Raw genomic sequence first — 25,834 nt, 5'->3', positions numbered from 1 at the left:
TGAGATTATGGACGATTTTTATTTTCTCTTTTTTGCTTATCTGTATTTTCTAATTTTTCTCCTCCAAACACTGGGTAATATGGTTAAAACCTATTTAAAGAATAAAGGAATGGCTACAAAAGATGGCTGGGACATCTTTTAAGGGCTGGTCAAGGGATGGGGAAGGAGTGGCTCAGGGGTCCGAGAGCCAGAGCTGCAGAGAAGGGAGGGGGCTGGGAATTCCACATGGACAGAGGGCGACAGACAGGAGGGACAGAGGCTCAAGGAACTTTCTGGGAGCTCCGTGGCCACTGGCCCCACATACTGATGGTCCAGGACTGGGGATCGGGGCAAGCTGCCCTGCCAGCCCCCAACCCCTCGACTCTGCAGAAGCACCAGGACAATAAGCATCCTTGGACAATAAGCATCCTTAGAGCATGGCAACCTTCCCAGCTGCCCTCAACCAGGCACAAGCTGCTCCACATCAGTAGGGACTGTCTGCTCCCAACCATCCACACTCCCCCCAGCCCTCCCATAAGCAGCAGCATCACCTCAAGAAGTGGAAGGTAGGGTCATGGGGTCAGCATGAAGCTGAGGTCAGGTCAGTCTGAAGGCTGAGCTCACTGTCCTTTCTTCCCCAGGTCCTGAACCAGAGCTCTGATCCCCAGGTGGGTGTTCCCCAGGCCTCCTCTGGACCATGCACTCAGGCTCCTACCCTAGAGCCACCTCCCATTCAGGGACTCTCAGAGAGAACAACTCCAGACTCATCGGCCCTCCCAGAACCTTCTCAAACAGCCACCCATCCCTCTCCAGTCTGGAAAGATCCTCCCACCCCCAACCCCACTCACGCCTGTCACCCTTGAAAACTCCCAGGAGCCTCGTGACAGCTTCGTTAACACACACACCTTGTGTTTAAAAGAGCCCCATCTCCATGGTGCTCCACACCCTAATTTCTCCCTCTCTTTCTCTCTCTTTTTGGCAAGGGTGGAGGGAATGAGCCTCTATGTTCCCAAACAGAAAAATAGGCAGCTCAAAGAGGGGAGGGAGCTCTGCAGTGGCCCCCTCACTGGCCAAGGGCAGAGCGGAACCTTCTCTCCACCTCACCAGCCCTGGCAGGCCCCAAACGGCCCTCATCAAACTTTCCCAGACCCCTCCCAGCAACCTGGGCCAAAAAGACATGTGTGGGAACAGCCTGGAGAACAAGGGCTCAGGGCAGCTCTCCCGAGGGAGAGGATGGGCAGGACACAGAAGGGTCTGCAGAAGGCAACAGCTGGCCACAGCTTCAGGCCAAGGCCAGGCATCAGGGCCCGTCCCCACAGGGCTGGGCTCGGCCTGACACCTCCGCCTCTCCTCCCCTGCCTGCCCCCAGCTCCAGTTCCAGCCACCCTCACCTCTCATGGGCTCCAGAGGCAATGACAGGCTACAGCTGGTGCCCTGCAAGGGTGGCCCAGAGACGACACAGATGTTCACAGCTGCAGGCCGCAGGGGTAGAACAGGCAGTTAGGGGTGGGAGAGCAATGTCCTTTGAAAATCAAGCCCACCTCCAAAATATCTAGAGGGGGGTGCAACCCCAGGCTTGTCACACTGTAGCTCTCACCCTGAAATCTCTCTCAACTCTGCCAGAAAGAACCTCACCAGCGTGGGGCCTTCCTCCTGCTGGCCACACACTGAAGGGCCTTGGACCACTTCCTTCCCCTCTCTGGGCCTCAGTGTCCACAGCCACTGTAAAATGATAGTGAGGGTTGGGATGGTCTGAAAGCCCCTTCCAGCTTCAGGGGGATCTGGCGCCTCAGATTAGTGGTCCCAGTGGTCACAGCACGGCGGTCACCTGCCAGGGACAGGGGTCAGCAAAGGTAGGGGTGCAGGTGGGGTGCCTAGTGCTCAAACCTCTGCTAGGGAAAGACAGGGGGAAGTGGGTTGGGATGAGATGTCCCTGCATAGTTGGTGAATTGTTTATGCCTTTATTTCCTACCTTCTAACTCTCCTTTGGTCATGAGTGAGGGCTGCTCCTGCAGTGACAATGGAGTGTGAGGCAGTGCCCACGGAGCTCACAGCCATTTTCACGCCACATTGCAGTGGGATCTGGAAATGTCGCTTACGATACCACTCTTCTAAACAACAGTCATTATCAGACCCACCAGGGACCACGTGTGCCCCCGGTCCCCTGCCTACAGACGCTGGGCTGACGCACCTGGCCAGCTTCGGGCAATTCTGCACCTGGTGCTCTTAAACCACTCCCCACTCCCACTATGGGTCCTCATGATTCAGGTGAACTCAACAAGCTTGGAGAATCCTAGCAATCCTAGACAGAAGCCTGACCTTGCCTTATAAAACTAGCTGCAAAGAAGCTGCAATTACATTTGCAAAGTGGGATTTGCAATACTTGGGAAACCTCAAAAAAAAAATCACAACGGCCTGGGTGTCCACCATGCGGGGCACAAGCCTTTCCCTCAAAGACACTCCCCAGTGTGACACCCCCATTGAAGCTGAGCCACTGCAGCCTTGTCACTGATGAGTCTCTTCAAAAGTAAAATGTAACCTTAATTTGCCTAATGGGTTATCTTATTAGTGCAATAATACCTAAGGACAAATATTACCATTTGTTTACTGTTTATTATTTAAACGCAATGTGTTTAAGTATTTTGACAGTTCTCTCAATGAAACATATTTCCTTTGTAACCCCACCTATTTTATGTATTTAAAAGCATTCTGAGAAGGAGTCCATGGGCTTCTGCTTGGGGGTCCTTGGCACAAAAAAAAAGAGGAAACCAGCTGCGCTTGCTTCATGCCTGTAATCCTAGCACTTTGGAAGGCCAAAGCGGGCAGATCACTTGAGGTTAGGAGTTCAAGACCAGCCTCGCCAACATGGTGAAACCCCGTCTCTACTAAAAATAAAAAAAAATTAGCCGGGCATGGTGGCGGGCTCCTGGAATCCCAGCTACTCGGGAGGCTGAGGCAGGAGAATCCTTGAACCCAGGAGGCAGAGGTTGCAGTGAGCCGAGATCATGCCACTGCACTTCAGCCTGGGCGACAGAGCAAGACTCCATCTCGAAAAAAAAGAAAAAAGAGGAAACCTTGCTTTAAGGGAAGAACATTCCCCACCCACAAACACAGGCCCTCTTCCATCTTCTCTGCTTCTGTTATTAATATTCCAAAGCCCTCATGAAGCGCTGGGCACCTTGCTGGATGCTTTATGTCATATCGATCCCCAGAACCCTATAAGGATGAGGCCTCATTGTGTCCATTTTCAGATGAGGACAGCTGGTCTTTGGGAAGGGGCAGCAGTTGACAACTGCCCCTCAGCTTCCTCCCTGCCTCTTTAGAGCTGACCCTAGCAGCAAAAGCACCTCACACTGTCCCCTTCCCTCTTGGATCTGAACAACTCCCAACCCCATCCACTCCACTCTCTGCCTGACGAGGCCTCCTAGAGAGATACACAGCTTCCAATACACAGTCAGGGACTCCAGGACCCATCTCACCCATGGAAGCCCTCAGTATCCAGCTAAAAAGCCACAGAATCATCCAGGCTGCAGCTCTAATGGCATTTGAGAAAGTCTGGCACACAGACATGCCATTCTCCTGCCTCTCATGGCAGTCAGAAAAGAAACTGGCCGGGCGCGGTGGCTCACGCCTGTAATCCCAGCATTTTGGGAGGCTGAGGCGGGCGGATCATCTAAGGTCAGGAATTCGAGACCAGCTTGGCCAACATGGCAAAACCCTATCTCTACTAAAAATACAAAAATTAGCCGGGTGTGCTGGCAGGCGCCTGTAATCCCAGCTACTTGGGAGGCTGAGGCAGGAGAGTCGCTTAAACCCAGAAGGCAGAGATTGCAGTGAGCCGAGATCACACCATTGCACTCCAGCCTGGGCAACAAGAGCAACACTCCACCGCAAAAAAAAAAAAAAAAAAAAAAAGAAAGAAAGAAAAGAAAAGAAACTGACCTATGGAGTCCTTGGCAGAGAGGTCACCTCATTTCCTTAAGAGGACTCAAGCTTCAAAAGGTGGGACATTAGCTCCAACTCACCCACTAGCTGCCTGATGCTCCAACATACTCACCCAACCTGCCAGAGTGGTGAGCCTTTTGTCAATGGCAGTATTCAAGCCCAGGGGAAGCTAGAGATGCCCATTCTGGGCCCTGGGGTAGGAACAATAGGCAAGAGGTTCAAGAGCTGATTCCTAAATATCTTGGGAGTAGAAGTCCATTGCTTTGTGTATGGTTCTGGGGGAAATGAACCATCACCATTCCAATCTTGGTTTCCCCACCTCGAATCTAAAGTTTACAAACCCCCACCTTCTTTGTCCTTCCAGGGTGCAGCAGCCACAACCTCCCAGCATGTCAAGCCCAGTGAGCTTGAAAAAGATGACTGGTAGCTTTTCCAAAATAGAGTCTGGCTTCTCAGACTGCAGCAGAAAGGTGGCTGTCTGCCACTGACCCCAGCCACTACGCCCACCCCGTCCCTTTTTCCTGCCCTCCCCGCCGGCCGGAATCCCAGACCCTCTGGCACAATCCCAAGTCCCACCTTAGAGATGCTGAGACCACAGCAATCTCCACAAATGGCTGTTGCTGCAAGACCCTATCGCTGCTGAGGCCTAACCACTCAAGACCCCCTGCCCTGTATCCCCCAAAAAGCAGATTCAGAGCTGGCCACATCCCTGAAGTTCATCTAGCTGTTGTGGTCTGAATGTTTTGCCCCTAAAAACTCATATGTTAAAATCCTAATCCCAGGCTGGGCACAGTGGCTCACACCTATAATCCCAGCACTTCGGGAGGCTGAGGCGGGCAGATCACCTGAAGTCAGGAGTTCGAGACCAGCCTGGCCAACATGGCGAAACCCCGTCTCTACTAAAAATACAAAAATTAGCCCGGCGTGGTAGCACACACCTGTAATCCCAGCTACTCGGGAGGGTAAGGCAGGAGAATCACTCGAATCTGGGAGGCAGAAGTTGCGGTGAGTTGAGATCGCGCCACTGCACTCTAGCCTGGGCGACAGAGCCAGACTTCGTCTCACAAAAAAAAAAAAAAAAAGAAAGAAAGAAATCCTAATCCCCAAGGTCATGGTATTAGGAGGTGGAGGCTTTGGGGGAGAGGGGGTAATTAATTCATGAGGGCAGAACCCTCAGGAATGGGATCAGTGCCCTTATAATAGGGACCCCAGAGAGCTGCCTGGTCACACCATCTGAGGATACGGCAAGAAGGCAAGATCAATGAAAAAGTGGGCCTGTATCAGATAATGAATCAATGCCTTAGTCCTGGACTTCTCAGCCTCTAGAACCATGAAACATAAATTTCCGTTGTTTTTAAGATACCCAGTTCATGGCGTTTTGTCGTAGCAGCCTGAATGGACTGAAATATTAGAGGCCAGGCACAGTAGCTCACACCTGTAATCCCACTACTTTGGGAGGCTGAGGTGGGCAGACTGCTTGAGCCCAAGAGTTCAAGACCAGCCTGGGCAACATAGCGAGACTCTGTCTCATTTACAAAAAATAAAACATAGTAAAATGCTCTCTTTCCACAGATGAGGCAACTGAGGCACAGAACAGGAGAGTGATATGCCCCCATTCACACAGCAAGTGGCCACAAGGACAGAATTGGGACTCAGGGCTCCTTTCTCCAGACCCAAGGCTCCCTGGCTGGGCTGCACTGCCTCTGGCCTGAGGCAAACAGGAAGACTGTGTTGTGAACACACAGAGATGTGTCAGTATGGAATTATGCTAGTCAGTCACTGTGTTGGTCGAGAGTGTGTGACTCATGTGTCTGCCAGGGGGCAGGGGTCGGGGACTCACTGGGGTGAGGTGGGGTTTGAACAGCCACCTGAGAGAGCCAGAGACCCTGAGCGCAGAGAGGGGTACACCAGGAGGGCCAATGGGTCAATCTCTGACTGCAAGGCGTTTGACGTATATTATCTCATTTAATCCTGACCCAAAAAAGAGGTGCCAACTCTTAACAAGTCAATATCAAGTCAATTTTTTTAAAATGTAAAGATGGGCAAAAGATTTGAAGATACATACAGATGCCAAATAAGCACATTAAATAGATGTTCGGGATCATGTCATCAGGGTCCTGCACTAGAATGACAAATTTAAAAGACTGACGATACCGAGCTCTGAGGAAGATATGAGTAACTGGAACTCACATACACTGCTGGCGAGCAGTGAAAGCATACAGCCACCTGGAAGACAGTTTTGTAATTTCTTACTAATGGAGACATACCCTTCTCATATGACCCGGCAATTCCACTCTTAGGTACCCAACCAGGAGAAATGCAAATACGTGCAGAAAAAGACTTGTACACAGCAGCATATTCATAACAGCAAACATTGAGCCCAACTTAATGTCCATCAACTGGTGAACAGATGAACGCAATGTGATAGGTCCACACCATAATATACCACACAGCGGCCGGGAGTGGTGGCTCTCGCCTGTAATCCCAGCACTTTGGAGGCCGAGGCGGGCGGATCACCTGAGGTTGGGAGTTCGAGACCAGCCTGACCAACATCGAGAAACCCCATCTCTACTAAAAATACAAAATTAGCCAGGCGTGATGGCGCATGCCTGTAATCCCAGTTACTCGGGAAGCTGAGGCAGGAGAATTGCTTGAACCTGGGAGGCAGAGGTTGCAGTAAGCCGAGATTGCGCCATTGCACTCCAGCCTGGGCAACAAGAGTGAAACTCCATCTCAAAAAATAAAAATAAAAAAAACAACCCCAAAAAGGAGCAGACTACAGATAGACACAACAATATGGGTGAACCTCAAAACTATTACCGAGAGAAACAAGCCAAGCCCCAGACACTTACACTGTATAACCCCGTGAAAACTGCAGGGGCAGACAGCAGGTCGGTGGAGGAAGGACTCAACTGCACGAGGGCACATTTTAGGGGATGGAACTGCTGGGGATACTGAATGTGGTGGCCACACAACGGCGTACATTTGCCAATGCTGATCAAACTGAACACTTAGGCCAGGTATGGTGGCTCACGCCTGTAATCCCAAAACTTTGGAAAGCCGAGGTGAGCGGATCACCTGAGGTCAGGAGTTCAAGACCAGCCTGGTCAACATGGTAAAACCCCATCTCCACTAAATACACAAAAATTTGCCAGGCGTACTGGCACATGCCTGTAGTCCCGGCTTCTCAGGAGGCTGAGGCAGGAGGATCGCTTGAACCCAGGAGACGGAGGCTGCAGTGAGCTGAGATTGCACCACTGCACTCCAGCCTGGGTGACAGAGCAAGACTCCATCTCAAAAAAAAAAAAAAAAATGAACACTTAAAAAGGGGTAATTTCATTGTATGAACGCTACCTCAGTAAATCTGTTAAAAACAAGAGGTGTCCCCATCCTTTGTCCCACAATGTTCTCCTCTCGTGACACCTTCCCACTGAGCTCCGTCATTCATCAGCTGTGCAACCTTGGCCCCATAACCTCTCTGGACCTCTGCTGCCACTTCTGTGAAATGGGAACAACAGTAGCACCTCCTTCATGGGGTAGTTGCGAAAGTTAAATAATATCTTGTGGGTAAAGACCTCAGAAAAGGGCCTGGCCAATAAAGGTAAGGTGATTCTAGGTGTTTGGGGGACACTGGCCCATTGGCCTCTGAAGCTGGGCTGTGTGCCTTGTGATCACTGAGCCCTGGAAATCTGGCTGGTCCACACTAGGACATGCTGCAAGTGTAACATACATACCGGATTCTGAAGACTAGCTACAAAAAAAAAAATACAGTAAAATATCTCATTAACAATGTATATTGGGGCTGGGCACAGTGGCTTATGTCCATAATAGCACATTGAGAGGTCGAGTCAGGAGGATTGCTTGAGCCCAGGAATTTGAGACCAGCCTGGGCAACACAGAAACGCTGTCTCTGCCAAAGATAGAAAGAAAAAAAAATGGCCAGGTGTGGTGGTGCATGCCTGTAGTAGCAGCAACTTAGAAGACTGAGACAGGAGGATCGCTTGAGCCCAGGAGGTCAAGGCTACAGTGAACCATGATCGAACTACTGCACTCCAGCCTGGACAAGAGTGAGACTCTGTCTCAAAAAATAAAAAACTAAGAACCAAAACATAGTTTATGTTGATTACATCTCAAAATGATAATCTTTTGATATACTGAGTTAAATAATATATGTTATTAAAACTAAGTTCACTCATTCATCTGTATTTGAAGGCAGCTGTTTAAAGTGCCACACAAGGCTGGGAGCGATAGCTCACACCTGTAAGAGGCTGAGGTGGGCGGATCACTTGAGGTCAGGAATTCAAGACCAGCCTGACCAACATGGAAAAACTGTGCCTTTTTTATAAAAATACAAAAATTAGCCAGGCGTGGTGGTTGCACGCCTGTAGTCCCAGCTATTCGGGAGGCTGAGGCAGGAGGATCGCTGGAACCCAGAAGGCAGAGGTTGCAATGAGCTGAGATCGCACCACTGCACTCCAGCCTGGGCAACAGAACGAGACTCCATCTCAAAAAAATAAAAATAAAGTGCCACACGTGGCTCCTGTGAGATTTCTACTGGGTGGCACTGCTCTGAGTCTTAAGTCCTCTGTGACCCTGAGGACACCTCTTGCTCAGCTCAGGGTACTCAGGGCTGAGCCCAGTGCCTGTGGCAGGTAAGAGTTTAATAAATATCTGTTAGAGGCATGCAAAAGCCCCAGAAAGTTGGTGTTTTCATTCCCATTGAACAAAAAGAAAAGCGAGGGCTTGCAGGAGTGGCAACTCTTCACATCCTGACCCCTGGCTGGGGACACAGGGCTTAGGCTCTGTGAATCGTGGGCTCTGGGCAGGACACCAGCTGAACCCCACTTCTATCATGCATTAGTCACATTATCTTGGGTTCATGGCTTGATTTCCCCAAACTGTTTCCCCAACTGTAAACTGAGGACCACCGGTACCTCCCCTGCTGGACCGTATAAAGATGAAATCAGTGAATGTGTGCAGAGCAACACCTGGATGGCCCGACACACAGCACAGCGAGGGCTCCAACTCCTCATCTGCCCTGACCTCATCCCCCCACACCATGGCTGACCCTGCACTGAACTCCCAGCAACTGCCAGCTGCCACAGACGTGAACCTTCAGGACCAGGACTAGAACCAGGGGCCTCGCCCAGGCGCCATCTGTGAATGGCCAGCAGTCCCTGGCTCTCAACCAAGGCAGCCAGCAGGGCAGAGCCAGGCTGGGCTGGGCCACAGCAGCCACCCTCCTTAACAACCACGATCATCACATCACTCTCCTCATTCTGCTTTGTCTGGTAAGCCATTCGGGATAGGTTCCCATCTGCTCTTGGCCTTCCTCAAGAACCAGGAGGCCCCAGCTCTGTTCTGGGCCCTCGCACAAGTCCTCCACCCCTGGAAGAACAGGTGCCCAGCCTGAGTCAGCCCAGTTCTCTCCAACCCTCTGCCCCCACCAGCTTTGGGCCACTAGCACCTGACTGACCTATCTCCTTCCCTTTTGAATCTGATCCAAGAGGGCAGGGCAGAGTCTCTCCATCACTTTACCTCCCCACCCTGTCTGGTTACTGATGATGGGCCAAGGCTGGTTCTCAACAAGTAGGCACCAAAGACTGGGGGCCATCTACTTCAACAGCAATGGTACTTATTCCTGAGTAGTGAGCTGCAGGGTGATATTTATTTTCTTCTGTTTTGCTCATCCATCGCTTCTAAACATCTTACAATGAACATGATTACCCTAGGAACATTTTCTTTTTAAGTTTAGTTATTTGTATAAGTTTCCAAGTTGGGCAAAGGTCACAACTCTTCACCCAGAGAACCCTCACCCCACCCACCTCAAAGCACCCCATGCTCCTCCGGCCCCGTGTCCTTAACCCTGGCCCTCTGCCCAGGCGCACTCTGCCCACTGCAGCGCGTGTTCCCCTGACAATAATTCCACTTGTACAGTCTGGTAGGATTTTTGTGTCTTTGCTACAGCCCTCAAGAGAGCCGAGAATTAGGATCCCCAGTTTACAGAAGAGGTGACGGCTGAGCAAAGTCAAAGACATGAACCTCCCAGGTGACAGGCTTCATGGAGGCAGAGGCTCCTGGCCCCGACTCCTTCATCTCTTGGGGGTCCCACAGACCCATCCTTCATGACCTCTGCCCCTCAGCCTCTTTCTCTTTAAAACTAGGAAGAGTCCAATCTAAATGTTAAAATAAAGCTGTCTGGGGGCTGGGATCACAGGAACCCTTCACCTGCTAAATTATGTGTTTCTCAAGTGTTTTTATATTTTTCTAAACTAGAAAAAAAATAGTTTAAAAGTTAAAAACAGAAATTAGAGGACGTGTGGAAATGCAGTCCTTTGCTCTGCAGGCGGGGCTGCCACTGCGGGGGGCAGCCCTGACTTCCAGCCTTCAGCCTGCAATCCCTGGGGAGCCTTTGAAGCAAGCGCCAAGTCCTGGCAGGAAGGAGGCCTCATGGCTGCCACACACTGAGATGACAAGTCAAGGTGGGCATGCAGCAGGAAGTGGGCAAAGGTGGACAGAATGACCGGACGGCCCGCAGAGGCACTGTGGCACATGGAGGCCAGCACCCAGGGCCAGCAGAGTGTGGGAATGCAAATCAGGTCGGCCCACTGAGTGGAGAGAAGCTGTGGAGGGATGGGGAAGTCCCTGCCCGCCCTCAGAGAGCAGGGGGAAGCCTCCCTCTCAGCTCACCTGGCAGGCGGGTTCTCGGGATGACAAAGCCTGCCCCGCAGCCAGCAGCGGTCCCTGGGTCACCGGGTGTGGGCCAGCCATCACGGGCCTGCAGGTTCCTGGAATTCAGGACCTTTTCCAGCACCCCTAGTTGCCTGCCTCCAAGTGGGTCTGCTCTGCCGCTCTGTCTATGGGATCTCAGATTGGGGAGCAGGGAAAGGCTGTAATGAGCATTTTGAGGACAACTGGGAAAATTTGAGGATGGAGTATATGCTGGATAAATAAGTTAACATCCTCAGATTGTGGCTAAAAGGAGAATGCCCTTGTTCTTAGGAAATACAGGCTGAAGCGTTTGGGGGTAATGCCTCTTGATGTCTGACGTTCATGATTTAGAGAGAGAAGTAAATGGAACAAATCTTACCTGGTGTTGGCAGACAGGAGTTTACTTACTGCACTCTTCCTTTTTTTTGATCTTTTGAGATGGATTCTCACTGTGTCGCCCAGGCTGGAGGGCAGTGGTGCAATCTCGGCTCACTGCAACCTCCGCCTCCCGGATTCAAGCAATTCCTGCCTCAGCCTCCCAAGTAGCTGGGACTACAGGCATGTGCCACCACTCCTGGCTAATTTTTTAATTATTTATTTATTTATTTTTTTTGCAGAGATGGGGTTTCACCATGTTGGCCAGGCTGGTCTCGAACTCCTAACCTCAAATGATGCACCCACCTCGGCCTCCCAAAGTGGTGAGATTACAGGCATAAGCCACCGCACCCGGCGAACTCTTTCAATTTGTCTGTAGGTTTAAAATTTTTCCAAATAAAAAAATGGGGGTTAAAAAATTTCAAAAGTAAAACTGAAAAAAGTGTTAAGCTGTCTTATGAGAAGTGCTCCATGGATTCCTCCTGGTTCTGCCCTTGAGGACCCAGAGGATTCATCCTCACTGGAGGGAGACGGCTTGTGGCCCACAGGCAAAAAGGGGTCGGTCTCAGGAGCAATCTGTATGATCATCATAGTTTTGTATTTTCCACTCTAATTAGCCACCCGTAGTTTGAAATCAATGAATTTCAAATAAAAATCTAGATCTCCGGCTTCTCTTGATGAATTAAAAAATGTGCAACAACAAGGTGCCACTGGAGGAGGTGAGCAGGGGGTGGGCTTGGGCAGGGATCCCTGCAGTCCACCAGGCTGGACTTCCACACTGTACTTGGGCCCTGCCCTGGCCTCTTGTGGGCTACAAGGAGACAGTGCTCCCAGTCTAACCCTGTCCTGGGGTGGGCCTTCCACTGCTTACCGTGTTCACTTGTGTCCCAGAACCTGCAGAGCTTCCTTACTTTTCCCAAGCCTTTCAGTCCCCGCTTCTTGGCCACTGTCCTATGAATGAGCTTGGCCCTTGCCCTCGGGCCTCAGCAGCCCAGACACAGACCACACTTTCTTGGCATGCTCTGACCACACTAAGAAGAGGTCGCTGCCTCCCTAATTCTAACCACTGCCACTGAGCTGTCTGCTAACACCTCTAAAGCCTTTCTCCCTCGGGCTCAGCCCCTGCTTCCCCCTTCCTGGCCTACAGCATGTGGCTTTCTGGTCCCAAGGCAGGACTGATGTCCCCATTGGGAAATCTCTCTGTGAGAGACTCAAGCCCTGAAGCTCTGGTCCAGCTTTTCAGCCTGGAAATGGCCCAGATTTAATCAAAAATCTCACAATGCCTTCATCCCCCAGAAGCAGGGACAGCCAGCTGAGCACACAGCTGCCCAGAGCCAAGACTGCATTCCCCACCTCCCTTGCAGCGACCTGGGGCCATGTGACTAACAGGCTAACAGTACTGCTATGGTTTGAATGGCCCCTCCAAAACTCATGTTGGAATTTAATTGCCATTATAATAGTATTAAGAGGCCTTTAAGAGGTGTGATTAGGCCATGAGGGCTCTGTCCTCACGGTGGATTCAATGCCTTTTTTTTTTCTCTTTTGAGACGGAGTCTCGCTCTGTCTCCAGGCTGGAGTGCAATGGCGCGATCTCAGCTCACTGCAACCTCCGCCTCCCAGGTTCAAGTGATTCTTCTGCCTCAGCCTCCCGAGTAGCTGGGACTACAGGCACCCGCCACCACACCCGGCTAATTTTTGTATTTTTAGTAGAGATGGGGTTTCACCATGTTGGCCAGGCTGGTCTCGAACTCCTGACCTCATGATCCACCTGCCTCGGCCTCCCAAAGTGCTGGGATTACAGGCGTGAGCCACCACGCCCCGCCCTCAATGCCTTTTAAAATTGGGATTTGGGGAGTGAGTTTTATCTGTTTCACATGCTCACCTGCCCTTCTGCCTTCTGCCATAAGAGGACACAGCAAGAAGGCCTGCACCAGATGCCAAGCAGATGTCAGTGCTGTGCTCTTAGACCTCCCAGCCTCCAGAATTGTAAGTCAAATAAATTTCTGTTCATTATAAATTACCCAGTCCATGATATTCTGTGATAGCAGCAGAAAATGGACTAAGACAGGGACATAAGCGTCAGTATAAGATGCCAAGTTCTGGAATCCTTCCTTACAAGACCCCTTTCCTCCCTGTCTCGATCCTGCTGCCTGGACACAGATATGATGACTTAAGTTTCACAGCCATCTTGAACCATGAGCCCTTGAAGCCACAGCCTGGGAACAGTGCGGTGGACATCAAGTTCCCCAAGGAAACTATAGGGTAGAGCTACTATACCAGACCTGGTCTGCAAAACTCTGGGCTTAGACAGGACGAAGAAATAAACTTCCAAGTTGTGTAAACCACTGTTATTTGGCTTTTCCTATTACTTGCAGCCAAATCTAATCCTGATTAATGCACTCTGTTATTTTTAGGTTTGACCCTCAGTGATCACATGCCACATGGGAACAGGGGAGAATTTATTTCTTTCTCCTCTTGCAGGAGAATGTCAAGTTTCCCTACTGGTGAAAGCCAGGCTACACTGTGGGCTGGCAGCTCCACGTTTGGGCGGAGTGACTCCAGGATCCTGGGAGCCCAGGATCCAAGTGTGTGGTTCACAGAACGTAATCCCTGCCCACCAGGGCCTGCAGGATAGCTAAGGATACACACACGAGATGCACACCGTTAGAGCACCATCCACTAACTGCGAGACAGCATGGTGAAGCAGCTTTCCCTGAGTCAGCTGCAGAGATTTCGAAAGTCCCAAGCCGCTAAATGTTTGTTCCACCTTATAGATAGAGACCTGGCCTCTACTGCTCCAAAATGGCAGAGAAAGACCACAAGCCTCTCTGCATCTGGAGGGCAGTCTCTCCTTTTCCCTCTAGGGAGCCTTCTGAGACAAGGAAGTCCCTGGGAAGCGAGAAGGTGTTACCTGGATGGGAGGGACCCTGCCCTGTTGGTTCTTTCAGGAAGGAGCAGAGGGAGGGGAGTGTAACAATTAGGAAGGAGCTGGTCAACTCACGGAAAGGCAATGCCTTCTTCTGAAAAAGGCTGGCTCCTGTCTATCTCTAGGTTCCATGCAGCCAGGTGTTGGGGGCAAATGCCTTAGGGAGGGGGGCCCAGGGAGAATAGGGTTAAGAGTATCTGGAATGCTCATGTGCTCACTTCCAGGAAGTCAGGCATTTGGACATTTCAAGGTCAGCAGAAACTCAGAGTGGCCTAAGACCTCACCCAGTGCTCTGCCCTGCTGACACTCTCCTGGCTGCCACCAGGGACTAGACCCAGAGTGACAGTGGGAAAGCACACTTCAGCCCCACTTCCAACCTCCAGCAATCTCCCAGGTACCTAAAGCATCATTTCAAGGAGCTGGGGAGAACCATGACCTGGATTCTGGGCATCTGTCTCCATCCCACCCACCACTGTGGCCTCCAGTCTAAACTCCTTTGCCCAGCACTCAAGTACCCCCTTAGGCACCCTCATCTCAACACCATGAATTTGCCCCACACATCCCCAATATTTTAGGCAAATCCAGATCCCAGCTGCCCCGTAGTGTTGAACAGGAAAAAAAAGCCCCACTAGAAGTTTTCCTCCAGCCCTGACTTTCCAAGAGTTCGGCACAGCCCACGCTTATTTCCATCTGGACGAGATAGATGGGTGGTTTTCAGACATTTCAGCGGCTGAATTCTTTGTGCAAAATCAATGTTTCCTGAAAGCCCTGTGTGTCCAACAGCCAGGAGCAGAGCTGGTGTACTGGCTGCACGCTCAGAAGAAGCTGCAGCGCTTCCTGCCCCCAGACCCAACCTGTGCCCTCCTAGAGAGAAGTTCCAGAGCTGCCCCACAGAGCTGCTCAAGGCCCTCAAGGTCCTCCCAGGACCTAAGGCCCTTCCCTGCCCTCACCCTTGTGGGTCCCACAACCAGGCACGCCAGGCCACCCTCACCCCCTTCAGTACATCCATCAACATCCAGTGGAAATGAATGGGCCTCCTGCTCCAAGCCAAGCAGCACTCAGCCTGTGCTCCACCCAGCCTGGCCCTGACCCCGGTGGCCTGGTGTTTCCTAAGTACATGCCTCACCTCCCCACTCTGGGTCTGATGTTCCTTCTGTGGGGCAGCCCTACTAACAGGATTCAGCCCACAATAGTTGTAGATTCCAAATGCCACTTTACCAAGTGCATTTCACATTGGAACTTCAGGACAACCTTATGAGGAAGGGAGAAGCACAGGGCAACTGTCCCATCAAGCAGGTGAAAAAACAGGCCAGAGAGTTCTCTACAGTACAAGACAGAGCCCAGCCTCCGTTTCCGCAGCTGGCTCTTCCTGCACTTCACCTGCCACTCCCTCATTCCTCCACTGAAGCCACCCCAGCTTTCCCAACGGACACTAGGAAGCTTAGAGCAGGGACCGGCAGGGGGCAAAGAACACGTGGGACCCAGGGGGAGAGTACCCCTTCCGGAGCCATGGCCTCTCACACGCCCCTGGCAGCCAGATGCCCAGGGTGAGTAACAATGGAGCTAAAAATAGGGCCCGACTCTGGGGGACGGCAGAGGGCCGAGTGGCCAGCTGGAGGAAACATCTGCCTCAGCTCAAGAACAAATACAGAGGAAGCTGCCGTGCTGCAGGGTTCCCCTACTGTGGGTGCAGAGCACATGAAACGTCCAGGTCTGTACCCAGGGCAGGGGCTCAGACCAGCCCTTCACCTGCCCTGGGCCTGGTCCCGCAACTCCCACAGGCCTGCACACACACACACAGGTTCCGCAGCTCCCACAGGCCTGCACACACACACACACACACACACACACACACACACGCCATACAGAGTCGAAACCCACCCTGGGCACCCACGTGTATCTTAGAGTTGAGAGCCAGAAGTACCTTTGAGACCCAAGTCTGACCCTTTCATTTTACAAAGGAGGAAACTGGGGTCCACGGGTGGCCGGAGACCTGCCCACAGTCACAAGAACAGTGGGTGGTGGCGTTGGGACAGGGTTCTCCTGCTCCTCACTCTCTATGGCACCTCGTGCTCATGCGCATCACTGGGCACGTCCAGCTGGGGCCAGTGACCCTGCTTCTGAGGAGGCAGATTCTACCTTAAGCATATCAGCTGGACTCAGGGCGCAGCATGTGGCAGTCCAGGAGCACGCTGGGCTGGCCCAGCCCTTCTCCAACCTGCTGCTCCCCAACTCCCATGCCCTAAACTCCAGCCAGTGCACCTCCTCACAGTCCCTAGAATGGGCACCATCAACAGGCCTTGGCAAATAATCAACATCAATAACAAAAATAATAAGAAAGCCGAGGAGCATCTTACTGGACCAGGGGGTGGGAGCAGGGTGTTTTGCAGTCTGTTGATGGCAGAAATGTTGCCTTTGAAGATCCTTGACATATTCCATAAACAACAAGGCTGGGCCGTCTCTCAAATGGTCTGGCCCAGCCAGTTTTCCTCCAGCGACAGAAAAGATGCTGCTGTTTCTTCCGTGGAGCAGCGAAGTTTGAGGGCCACACACCAGCCCCCCAATCACTCATTCCACATCTTCCTGACTGGCTCAATCTTCTTGTCCAGCCCACTCCCTGCATCAGGAGGCTTCCTTATCCTCCCCTCCGTGCCTTCCCACCACAGGGGTCTCCCTGGGGACCCACCAGGCAGGACCTGGTGCTGGCCTTCACTGGCATCCTCAGGGCCTGGCCTGTGCTTGGCACAAAGGAGCCACTTGGATAAACAAAACAGGGAAAATTTTTTTAAAACAATAAAAAGCTAGCCTGGGCAAGATGGTGAGACCTCATCTCTACGAACACATACATACACCACACACACACACACACACACACACACACACACACACACACGCACACACAAAACATACAAATGTAACAATTAGCCAGTGTGGTGGTATGCACCTATGGTCCCAGAACTTTGGGAAGCCAAGGCTGGCGGATAGCTTGAGGCCACAAGTTCGAGACCAGCCTGGGCAACGTGGCGAAACCCCATCTCTACTAAAAGTACAAAAATTAGCCAGGCAAGGTGGTGCACACCTTCGGTCCCAGCTACTTGGGAGGCTAAGGTGGGAGGATCACTTGAGCCCAGGTCAAGGCTGCAGTGAGCTGTGATCGCACCACTGCACTCCAGCCTGGGTGACAGAGCAAGACCCTGTCTCTAAAATTTTTTGTTTGTTTGTTTGTTTTTTGAGACAGAGTTTCGCTCTTGTAGCCCAGGCTGGAGTGCAATGGCACTACCTCGGCTCACTGCAACCTCCTCCTCCTGTATTCAAGCGATTCTCCTGCCTCAACCTCCCAAGTAGCTGGGATTATAGGCACCCGCCACCATGCCCGGCTAATTTTTTTTTTTTTTTGTATTTTTAGTAGAGACGGGGTTTCACCATGTTGGCCAGGCTGGTCTTGAACTCCCGATCTCAGGTGATCCATCTACCTCGACCTCCCAAAGTGCTAGGATTACAGGCACGAGCCACCGTGCCTGTCCTAAAAAAATTTTTTTTAATAGAAAGATAATTTTTTTAATAGAAAGATAATTTTTTTAAAGGATCAACTTTGCAGGTGTCTGTGTTGTGAGAATAAACCAGACAGCACAGATGGGGTTTTAGTCCAGGTCCCACAGTACAACATACAGTCCATAAGTGGCCACCATGTGTTGACTGCCTGAAAGAAAATGCTGGGTGGAAGGCGCTGACCTTTGACCACCCCCACCCCCAGGTGAGAAGGCTAAGGAGGAGGACACATGGAGGCCAGAGGCCAGGGAAGCCCTTTCAGGTCAGAAGGAAGACAGAGGGCTCCTCTCTGAGAGGCAGATTCCACCCATGAGGGAGAGTTGCCTGATTGAGACCCCTGGGTCTCTCGATGAGTCGTGCCCTCCCTGCTGCTCAGAGGGGCAAGTAAAATGGGGCACCTATCAAGTCCCCTGGGCCCTTCACTCACTCCTGAGGACCAAACATGTTAGCACCTTGAGCAGGATTTGAAATCACAAACACTGAATTCTTAACCCAATGGCTTCCACCTCCACTCCCCCAGGCAGTGTCACTCAGGTTAGTTGGGGGAAAGGATAATAATGGCAGCAGGTAACATGTACTGGACTCCAAGAGCGTGCCAGGCACTGTGCTCAGCCGTGCATCTGTCATCTAATCCTACAGTTCTGAAAGCAGGCTCCACAGACCCCAGGGCCCAGCGCCTTCCTTCCAGGGGTCCAGAGGTCAACAGGATTCTCACCGCAGCACTAAGACGTCACTGCCTTTCACTGGAATGACATTTGGTGGCTCAAAAGCCATGAAGGGGGTGAAACTGCTAGAGTCTCAGTAGAACAAGGCAGCAGCCCCAAAATGGGCCGGTCTCACTGTGTTCCCAGAGATATGCACTCGCGGTGACAAAATTCACCAATGTCACGTAAGGGTCCATGATGAGGCAGTAAAAATGATTAGTTTCACTGAATCTTAGCCTTTGGGTACATGTCCATTTGACATTCTGTGTGATAAAACGGGAAGTGCATGTAAGGCCCAAGAATGACACAGAGCTCGTCAGAGTTGGAGCTGACCCAGCCTCTAGTCCAAAGAATACTATTTTTTTTTTTTGAGATGGGGTCTTGCTTTGTCACCCAGGCTGGAGTGCAGTGGCACGATCACGGTTCACCACATCCTCAACCCGGGCTCAAGCTATCCTCCCACCACCTCAGCCTCCCAAATAGCTGGGACTACAGGTATGCGCCACCATGCCCGGCTAACTTTTGTATTTTGGGTAGATATGGGGTTTGGCCATGTTGTCCAGGATGGTCTCCAACTCCTGGGCTCAAGTGACCCGCCCACCTCAGCCTCCCAAAATGCTGGGACTACAGACGTGAGCCACTGCACCTGGCCGGGAACAACATTTTTACTTGACAGAATGACCAACAGACAAACAGTGGGTTTTCAGATATGAGTATTTGGCAGACAGTTTCTGATTTGTTTTTTTGTTTTGTTTTGTTTTGTTTTGTTTTGTTTTGTTTTGTTTTGAGACAGAGTTTCTCTCTTGTTGCCCAGGCTGGAGTACAATGACGTGATCTCGGCTCACGGCAACCTCCGCCTCCCGGGTTGAAGCGATTCTCCTGCCTCAGCCTTCCGAGTAGGTGAAATTATAGGCATGCACCACCATGCCCGGCTAATTTTGTATTTTTTTTAGTAGAGATGGGGTTTCTCCATGTTGGTCTCGAACAGGCTAGTCTCGAACCCCCGACCTCAGGTGATCCGCCTCCCTCGGCCTCCCAAAGTGCTGGGATTATAGGCGTGAGCCACCACACCTGGCCATGGCAGATATTTTCACAAAAATGAGTAAAGTGAGCCTGTCCCTTCAAAGAAAACAACTGACTTAATTTGTTGCCAATAATAAAGTTGGAGCTTGGAGCTTTCAAGGGAAAATTAGAATTTTGGAAAGCGTGTGTCACCCACTGTGAGTTCAAAAGCTGCTGAAAACAGAAAGATTTTTCTGATAATAGGTGTGACGATAGTAACAGATGTGACTTTTTTAAAATGTTGACATGAAATGTATCCACATTTGGAAGATCTGTGTAACACACAGGGCCAATATTTTCCCAAAGACAGATGCCTGATATTACAAAATCCCGTAACGGAGCCATTCGCACTGCAACACAGTCCAGTGGATCTTAACGTGACGAGGTACAAAATGTTCATTAATGTGCTTTCAGATTCCACATTTCAACTAGCTTTAAGAATCAACCACCTGTCAAATTTTTACATAGGATCAAAGGAAAATATCTAGAAGCTAATAAAATATTCCTCCCTTTTCACATTACATATCTGTGGTGAAGCCGATTTTCTTCACCATACTTCAGTCAAAACAATGTATCACAATAGATTGAATGCAGAGGCAGGCATGAGAATCCAGCTGTCTTCTGTTAAGCCAGACACGAAAGAGGCTTGCAAATCTGAAAGGCAATGCCACGCTTCCTATTCAATTTTTTTGTTTTGGAACATACAGTTATTTTCCAGGAAAAATAATAGATTTTATTTATGTTACCACATAATAGGCTTGTTATAAATGAATTTATAAATACGTGTTTTTGTTTGTTAGTTTTCTGAGACGAAGTCTTAATCTGTCACCCAGGCTGGAGTGCAGTGGCACGATCTCGGCTCACTGCAACCTCCGCCTCCCAGGTTCAAGTGATTCTCCTGCCTCAGCCTCCCGAGTAGCTGAGATCACAGGCATGCACCACCATGCCTAATTTTTGTATTTTTAGTAGAGACAGGGTTTCACTATGTTGGCCAGGCTGATCTCGAACTCCTGACCTCAGGTGATCCACCCACCTCAGCCTCCCAAAGTGCTGGGATTACGGGCGTGAGCCACCATGCCCAGCCGAAATATGTGTTTTTAAATATACTGTTTCAATTTCCAGTGTGGTAGCTATTGATATATGTATACAAGCCACACAAAAGCTCTTAGAGTCGTCAATTTTTAAGTGTAAAGGAGCCCTGAGAATACGTTTACAAACAGTTTGATTTCACCTTCATAACCCTTGCCTTACTCCCATTTTTGCAGGTGCAGACACTGAGGCCCAGATGGTCCGGGTTAACTTGCCCCAAGGGTGCGCAGGTGGCTGAGCAGGGCTCAAAGCCAGGCAGCCAGGCTTCCCAGGCATGCTCTTTATAGCTGCCCCTCATCTTACATCACGCTCCCAAAGGAAGTGCGGAAGGATAAAAGAAGACGTGATACAAAGGAAGCCACAGACATGAAAGAAGAGAATGTAAGTAAATATTTGTATAATCTTGGGACAGAAAAGAACTTTCTACACAAAATTCTGGAGGCAGAACACATAAAAGTTAAAGTGGACAGATCAGACTGCATAAAAAATAATCAGCTTTTGACCAATCAGAAAAAAACAAAACACGAAGTTACAAGGCAAATGACAAACTGGATAAAAATATTTTCAATGTATTTTTATTATTTGTCATTCTCTTTTTTTTCTTCTGAGACAGAGTCTCGCTCTGTCACTCAGGCTGGAGTGCAGTGGCGTGATATAGGCTCACCACAGCCTCCGCCTCCCAGGTTCAAGCGATTCATGCCTCAGCCTCCTGAGTAGCTAGGATTACAGGCACACACCACCATGCCCGGCTAATTTTTGTATTTTTAGTAGAGACGGGGTTTTGCCATGTTGGCCAGGCTGTTCTCGAACTCCTGACCTAAGGTGATCCACCCGCCTTGGCCTCCCTAAGTGCTGGGATTACAGGCATGAGCCATTGTGCCCGGCCTATTATCTGTCATTCAACATATGGATTATTTTTCAAACAAATGGGAAAACAAGTACATTTTGAAAGTAAAACAGACCAAAAATAACAAGCAAAATAGAAAGAGAAGAAATACAAATGGCCAATGAACATGAGACACAATGTCCAACCTAACTTGTAATGGAAAACCCAGAAATCGGCTGGGCATGGTGGTTCACCCCTATAATCCCAGCACTTTGGGAGGCCGAGGCAGGCAGATCACGTGAGGTCGGGAGTTTGAGACCAGCCTGACCAACATGGAGAAACCCCATCTCTACTAAAAATACAAAATTAGCTGGGCATGGTGGTGCATGCCTGTAATCCCAGCTACTCAGGAGGCTGAGGCTGGAGAATTGCTTGAACCCAGGAGGTAGATGATGCAGTGAGCCGAGATCACGCCACTGCACTGCAGCCTGGGCAACAAGAGCGAAACTCCAAAAGAAAAGAAAAGAGAGAAGAGAAAAGAGAAGAGAAGAGAACCCAGAAACAATGAAAACCATGCAGTGTCCATCATCACATCGGAGGTGAACCAGGGTGGAAACACCCATGTGGGCATGGGCACTGGGGACGGGCTCTCTCCTGAGCACCTGGCAGGATGTAAACCGGTAATAATTCTAAAATATCTTTAAAGTGGCCTTTTTAGATGAATGGAACCATGTAGTATTTGCTTACATTGGCTTCTTTTGCCCCATATCCTGTTAGGGATATTCATCCACCACTGCTCCATCCATTTTCATGACTACACAATGACGTCCATGATACATTCCACTTCAACCACTATGAATGTGAAAGATATTTCTAGTCTTTCACTAATATCAACAAAACTGTCCTGCAGACCCTTTGACCCTGCAATCCTTCTATCAATGTATCCAAAGGAAACAGGGAAAGACAGGGCCACAAAGGTATCCAGTACAGTTCTGTTGATATTAGTGAAAGATTAGAAATGTCTTTCACATCAACAGTGCTTGAAGCTGAATGTATCATGGATGTCATTAAGGCCATCAAAATGGATGGAGCAGCAGATGAACATCCTTAACAGGACATGGAGCGAAAAAAGCCAACATAAGCAAATACTACATGATTCCATTTATCTAAAACTCAAAAACAGGCAAAACTAGTCTATAATGTTGGAAGTCAGGCAAGAAGTCCTGTTGAGAGCAGGAAGAGGGTGTGGTGATGGGATACAGGAGTCTGTATTTTTTGTAGAGATGAGGGTCTCACTATGTTGCCCAGGTTGGTCTCGAACTCCTGGCCTCAACTAATGCTCCTGCCTCAGTCTCCCAGGGCACTGGGATTACAGGCATGAGCCACTGTCCTTGGCTCTTTTATGGATGTCAAACTTCGAATGAAATAGCAGCTTATTTACTGATGTAGAAAAATATCTACTATATGTCTAGTTTAAAAAAAAAAAGACACTACAGGATTTTAGAGTTTTGTTCCATTAAAAAGGGGGAGGCCTCTTGTATACAAATGTGCATGAACACAGGTATGCATGCACGCACGCACACACACACACACACACACAGAGTAAAAATGTCTGGAAGGACAAATCTCAAAACATCAATGGTGAACCGTACTTATCTCTGAAAAATGGGATCTCAGATGATTTTTCTCATCTTCCTGGATATCTTTATTTTCTCTCATTTCCCTACAGTAAACATACACTATTTAGAAAAAAAAGAAAGACAAAAAAGAACTACACAGTGGCCACTGACACCAGCAACCATGGTTCTGCAACAGCTTCACAGCCCAAGGGACCCTGACCCCACGGGGTGAGGACGCTCCCGAGGTGCCACTGCTGGAACGCTCAACACCTTCTCATGGGAAAACTGGCCAGTGGGGTAAGAAGGAGCTGCGTAGACGCCAGCGCTGTCCCTCACCAGAGGCCCATGGCTTGGCCTCTCTGAGCCTCGCTCTCCTGCAGGGCAGTGAAGGTTAAATAAGGCCATGATGTCCTGGCCAGACCAGGTTAGTTCTCAGGATGGTTCTTACACTCAGGTTCCCCCAGGTTCCATGGAGGCCCAGGGAGGCCGAGAAACTTCCTCACCTCATGCAGCAGGCCTGTGAGGCCTGGTTTTCCCCAGAAACAACCACAGGAGGCACCCTGGCCCACACAGTCCTCCCCACAATTGGAGTGTGGTCTGGAGGCCTGACCCCAGGAAGTTCTCTCCCCTCCCTGGGCCTCAGCATCCCCAGGAGTAAAAGGAGCAGGCTGGGCATTGCACTTGACCTCATGTAGCCTCCCTCAGTGGCAGGAAAGGTGGGATGGCTTATCCAGACAGGAAGTGACCTTGCCGGATGAAAGACAGGCCAACATTCCATCAGGAGCCCCCACCTGCTGGTGGCCTGTGGGGTCATGGGAGCCAGGAATGGGTGGGCATACAGAGGCCAAGGAGGAAACAGGATTTACTGCAGAAGGCCAGGCACACGGCAGACCCCCGGCAGGGAAGTGACTTCATTTCACACATTGTCCTCTTCACTTCCGCCCCTGGCATGGGAGGAACTTAACCCTAAGAGGGCCATATTGCACCGGCTCCAGCCAACTCCACACGGACCAGAGCAAGAGAGTCCAAGCTTTCTCCTTCCCCCACCCCTATAATCCCCAATCCACAGATGAGGAAACTGAGGCACAGAGAGGCTGACAGAAGCGCAGGGACTCCAGCACCTTTCCCATTATACCGAGCTGCACAGTGGCGGAAGACGTTAACTAATGGTCGGGAACTCTGGGAAGGCTTCCCGAAAAAGGAACAGAGCTGGGACTTAAAGGATGAGCAACATTTGATAGACCGGAAGGGGGAGGAAGCACACTCTGCACAGAGGGAGCAGCATAGAGAGAGGTGCCTCCTGTATAGTATTGTGGGAAGAATTAAGGTGCTTGTGAGGCCAGAATATAGGATGAGGTGGGGTAGGCCGAACCCCAGTCCCTGGGGACCATGCCAGGATCTTAGGTGTTGCTCTGCGGGGTGTGATGTGCTGCCCAGCTGTGGCAATGGGAGAGAAGCACGACCACGGCCTGTGTCCACCTAGTGGGGCTGCAGGGAGGAGGCACCATGTGGAGGCACCTGAGCAACAGGGTGGGTACTGCTCTGGGACATCTGGGGTGCAAAGCTCACCCCACCAACCCCAAACTAAGAAAGAAGTTCACAGTTCCAATAGTACCACGTGCCAAGGTACCACACACCAGACCAATGAGCAAGCAGGGCGTTGAATGCAGACTGTGTGGGCTCGAGCCTTAGCTCCACCACGACCAGCCTGATGCCCCTGACTGAAGCTCCACCTCTCTATGCTTCAACACCTGTCAGTGAAGTCCATGCCCACACCCACCTCTGAGGCCATGAGGACTAACTGAGAAAACCCCTGTACAGATCCACCTGAGTGTCACAGCTGGAGCGTGACAAAGAGTCACTGCCATATCATTTCTCCAAATAGCCCTGCAGCTACAGATTGTGGCCATTCTGATGCATCAGGAGGCTGAGTGACTTGGCCTAGAACCCACAGCAAAGAAACAGTGGAGCAAAGATTCAAACTCAGGCCGTCTGGCCCTGAATGCCTAGGCTCACACCAGCCCATCAGGCAAAACAAAACCCACAAGAATGAACCTGCACCTGCCAGCTGTGGCTCTCCAGGCCCCCGGGCAGCTTCGGGCAGGGGAGCAAGCACTCCACCACCTCAAACCTCCAGTGGCAGAGGGAGGAGCAGGGAGAAAATGCCAGGCCACGGGAGAGGAAGAAAAATATTTTTAAGTTTCTCCCTCTTCCTGTTTATCTGTCCCTTCCATCCTGAAGTCCTGGTAGCTGTTTTTTCAGGGAAAGTCCTGCCAAGAGGGACATCCTGCCGTGTGGCCACCCCAGGCCAAGCCGCCCCTGCCAGCCTCACACTGCGGGCTCTGAGGCCCACCTCCCTGCAGACACTCCCGCCTGGCCCAGAGGCTGCTGCATAAAGAGGCTTTCAGAAGAAGCTGGGGCCCAGGAAGGGGACCTGGGGCTGGGAGGAGGGGCCCATACCATGGCACCAATCAGCTCCACACTCAGGCCAGAGAGGTGACAAGAAGGATTTGAAGAAATAACTCTAAGCCTGGTATTGAAGAAGGAAGGGCCAGAGCTGGGGTCAGAAACACACAGCACTGGCTGTAGAGCCAGGCAGAACTGGCATCCAAACCTAGCTTGCCCGTGACTTACTGTGTGACCTTGGCTAAGTTACCGAACTTCTCTGAGCCTAGTTCCCTTATGTGTAAAATAAGGATAATGTTAATACCTACTTCATAGGGATATGGTAAGGATTACATGAGACAATGTAAGGAAAGTGCTAGCACCTGGTAAACATAACAAATGCTATTTATTGCCACTCTCACCATCAAGCTGACCCCCTCACTCAATCCCAAAGACGTATGATACCTTTTTTTTTTTTTCTGAGATAAAGTTTTGCTCTTGTTGCCCAATCTGGAGTGCAATGGGGCGATCTTGGCTCACTGTAACTTCTGCCTCCTAGGTTCAAGCAATTCTCCAGCCTCAGCCTCAAAAGTAGCTGGGTTTACAGGCACGCGCTACCACGTCTGGCTAATTTTTTGTATTTTTAGTAGAAACCGGGTTTTAC

The 25,834-nt window shown here is 50.5% G+C and overlaps 1 protein-coding gene across 11 annotated transcripts in view, besides 6 other annotated features; it reads right to left on the bottom strand.

The window, feature by feature from the left end:
• Positions 1 to 25,834, bottom strand: part of PALD1 (phosphatase domain containing paladin 1) — a 109,966-nt gene that overhangs the window by 43,871 nt on the left and 40,261 nt on the right. Inside the window, exon 1 of one of the 11 annotated variants that reach the window (XM_017016072.2) lies at positions 1,371 to 1,446. The exons of the other annotated variants lie outside the window; for them this stretch is intronic. The gene's annotated coding sequence lies outside the window, so the exon portion shown is untranslated. Of the gene's footprint in view, positions 1 to 1,370; positions 1,447 to 25,834 lie in introns of those variants that run through there. 11 annotated transcript variants of the gene reach the window in all.
• Positions 5,533 to 5,827: an enhancer, noted in NCBI's record as "tiled region #14353; HepG2 Activating non-DNase unmatched - State 22:ReprW, and K562 Activating non-DNase unmatched - State 20:ReprD". NCBI's record gives its function as "activates a minimal TATA promoter and a strong SV40 promoter by Sharpr-MPRA in HepG2 and K562 cells {active_cell/tissue: HepG2 | K562}" and the evidence as "EXISTENCE:reporter gene assay evidence [ECO:0000049][PMID:27701403]".
• Positions 10,069 to 10,603: an enhancer, noted in NCBI's record as "H3K27ac-H3K4me1 hESC enhancer chr10:72273733-72274267 (GRCh37/hg19 assembly coordinates)". NCBI's record gives its function as "activates a minimal SCP1, AML or CMV promoter by ChIP-STARR-seq in naive H9 embryonic stem cells {active_cell/tissue: H9 hESC(naive)}" and the evidence as "EXISTENCE:reporter gene assay evidence [ECO:0000049][PMID:30033119]".
• Positions 10,604 to 11,139: an enhancer, noted in NCBI's record as "H3K27ac-H3K4me1 hESC enhancer chr10:72273197-72273732 (GRCh37/hg19 assembly coordinates)". NCBI's record gives its function as "activates a minimal SCP1, AML or CMV promoter by ChIP-STARR-seq in naive H9 embryonic stem cells {active_cell/tissue: H9 hESC(naive)}" and the evidence as "EXISTENCE:reporter gene assay evidence [ECO:0000049][PMID:30033119]".
• Positions 10,686 to 10,735: an enhancer, noted in NCBI's record as "active region_3509". NCBI's record gives its function as "activates an Ori minimal core promoter by ATAC-STARR-seq in GM12878 lymphoblastoid cells {active_cell/tissue: GM12878}" and the evidence as "EXISTENCE:reporter gene assay evidence [ECO:0000049][PMID:35858748]".
• Positions 24,120 to 24,879: an enhancer, noted in NCBI's record as "H3K27ac-H3K4me1 hESC enhancer chr10:72259457-72260216 (GRCh37/hg19 assembly coordinates)". NCBI's record gives its function as "activates a minimal SCP1, AML or CMV promoter by ChIP-STARR-seq in naive H9 embryonic stem cells {active_cell/tissue: H9 hESC(naive)}" and the evidence as "EXISTENCE:reporter gene assay evidence [ECO:0000049][PMID:30033119]".
• Positions 24,880 to 25,641: an enhancer, noted in NCBI's record as "H3K27ac-H3K4me1 hESC enhancer chr10:72258695-72259456 (GRCh37/hg19 assembly coordinates)". NCBI's record gives its function as "activates a minimal SCP1, AML or CMV promoter by ChIP-STARR-seq in naive and primed H9 embryonic stem cells {active_cell/tissue: H9 hESC(naive and primed)}" and the evidence as "EXISTENCE:reporter gene assay evidence [ECO:0000049][PMID:30033119]".

Source organism: Homo sapiens, chromosome 10 (assembly GCF_000001405.40).
Source record: "Homo sapiens chromosome 10, GRCh38.p14 Primary Assembly".
Taxonomy (NCBI): Eukaryota; Metazoa; Chordata; class Mammalia; order Primates; family Hominidae; genus Homo; species Homo sapiens.
This window is presented reverse-complemented; position numbering and strand designations above follow the sequence as displayed.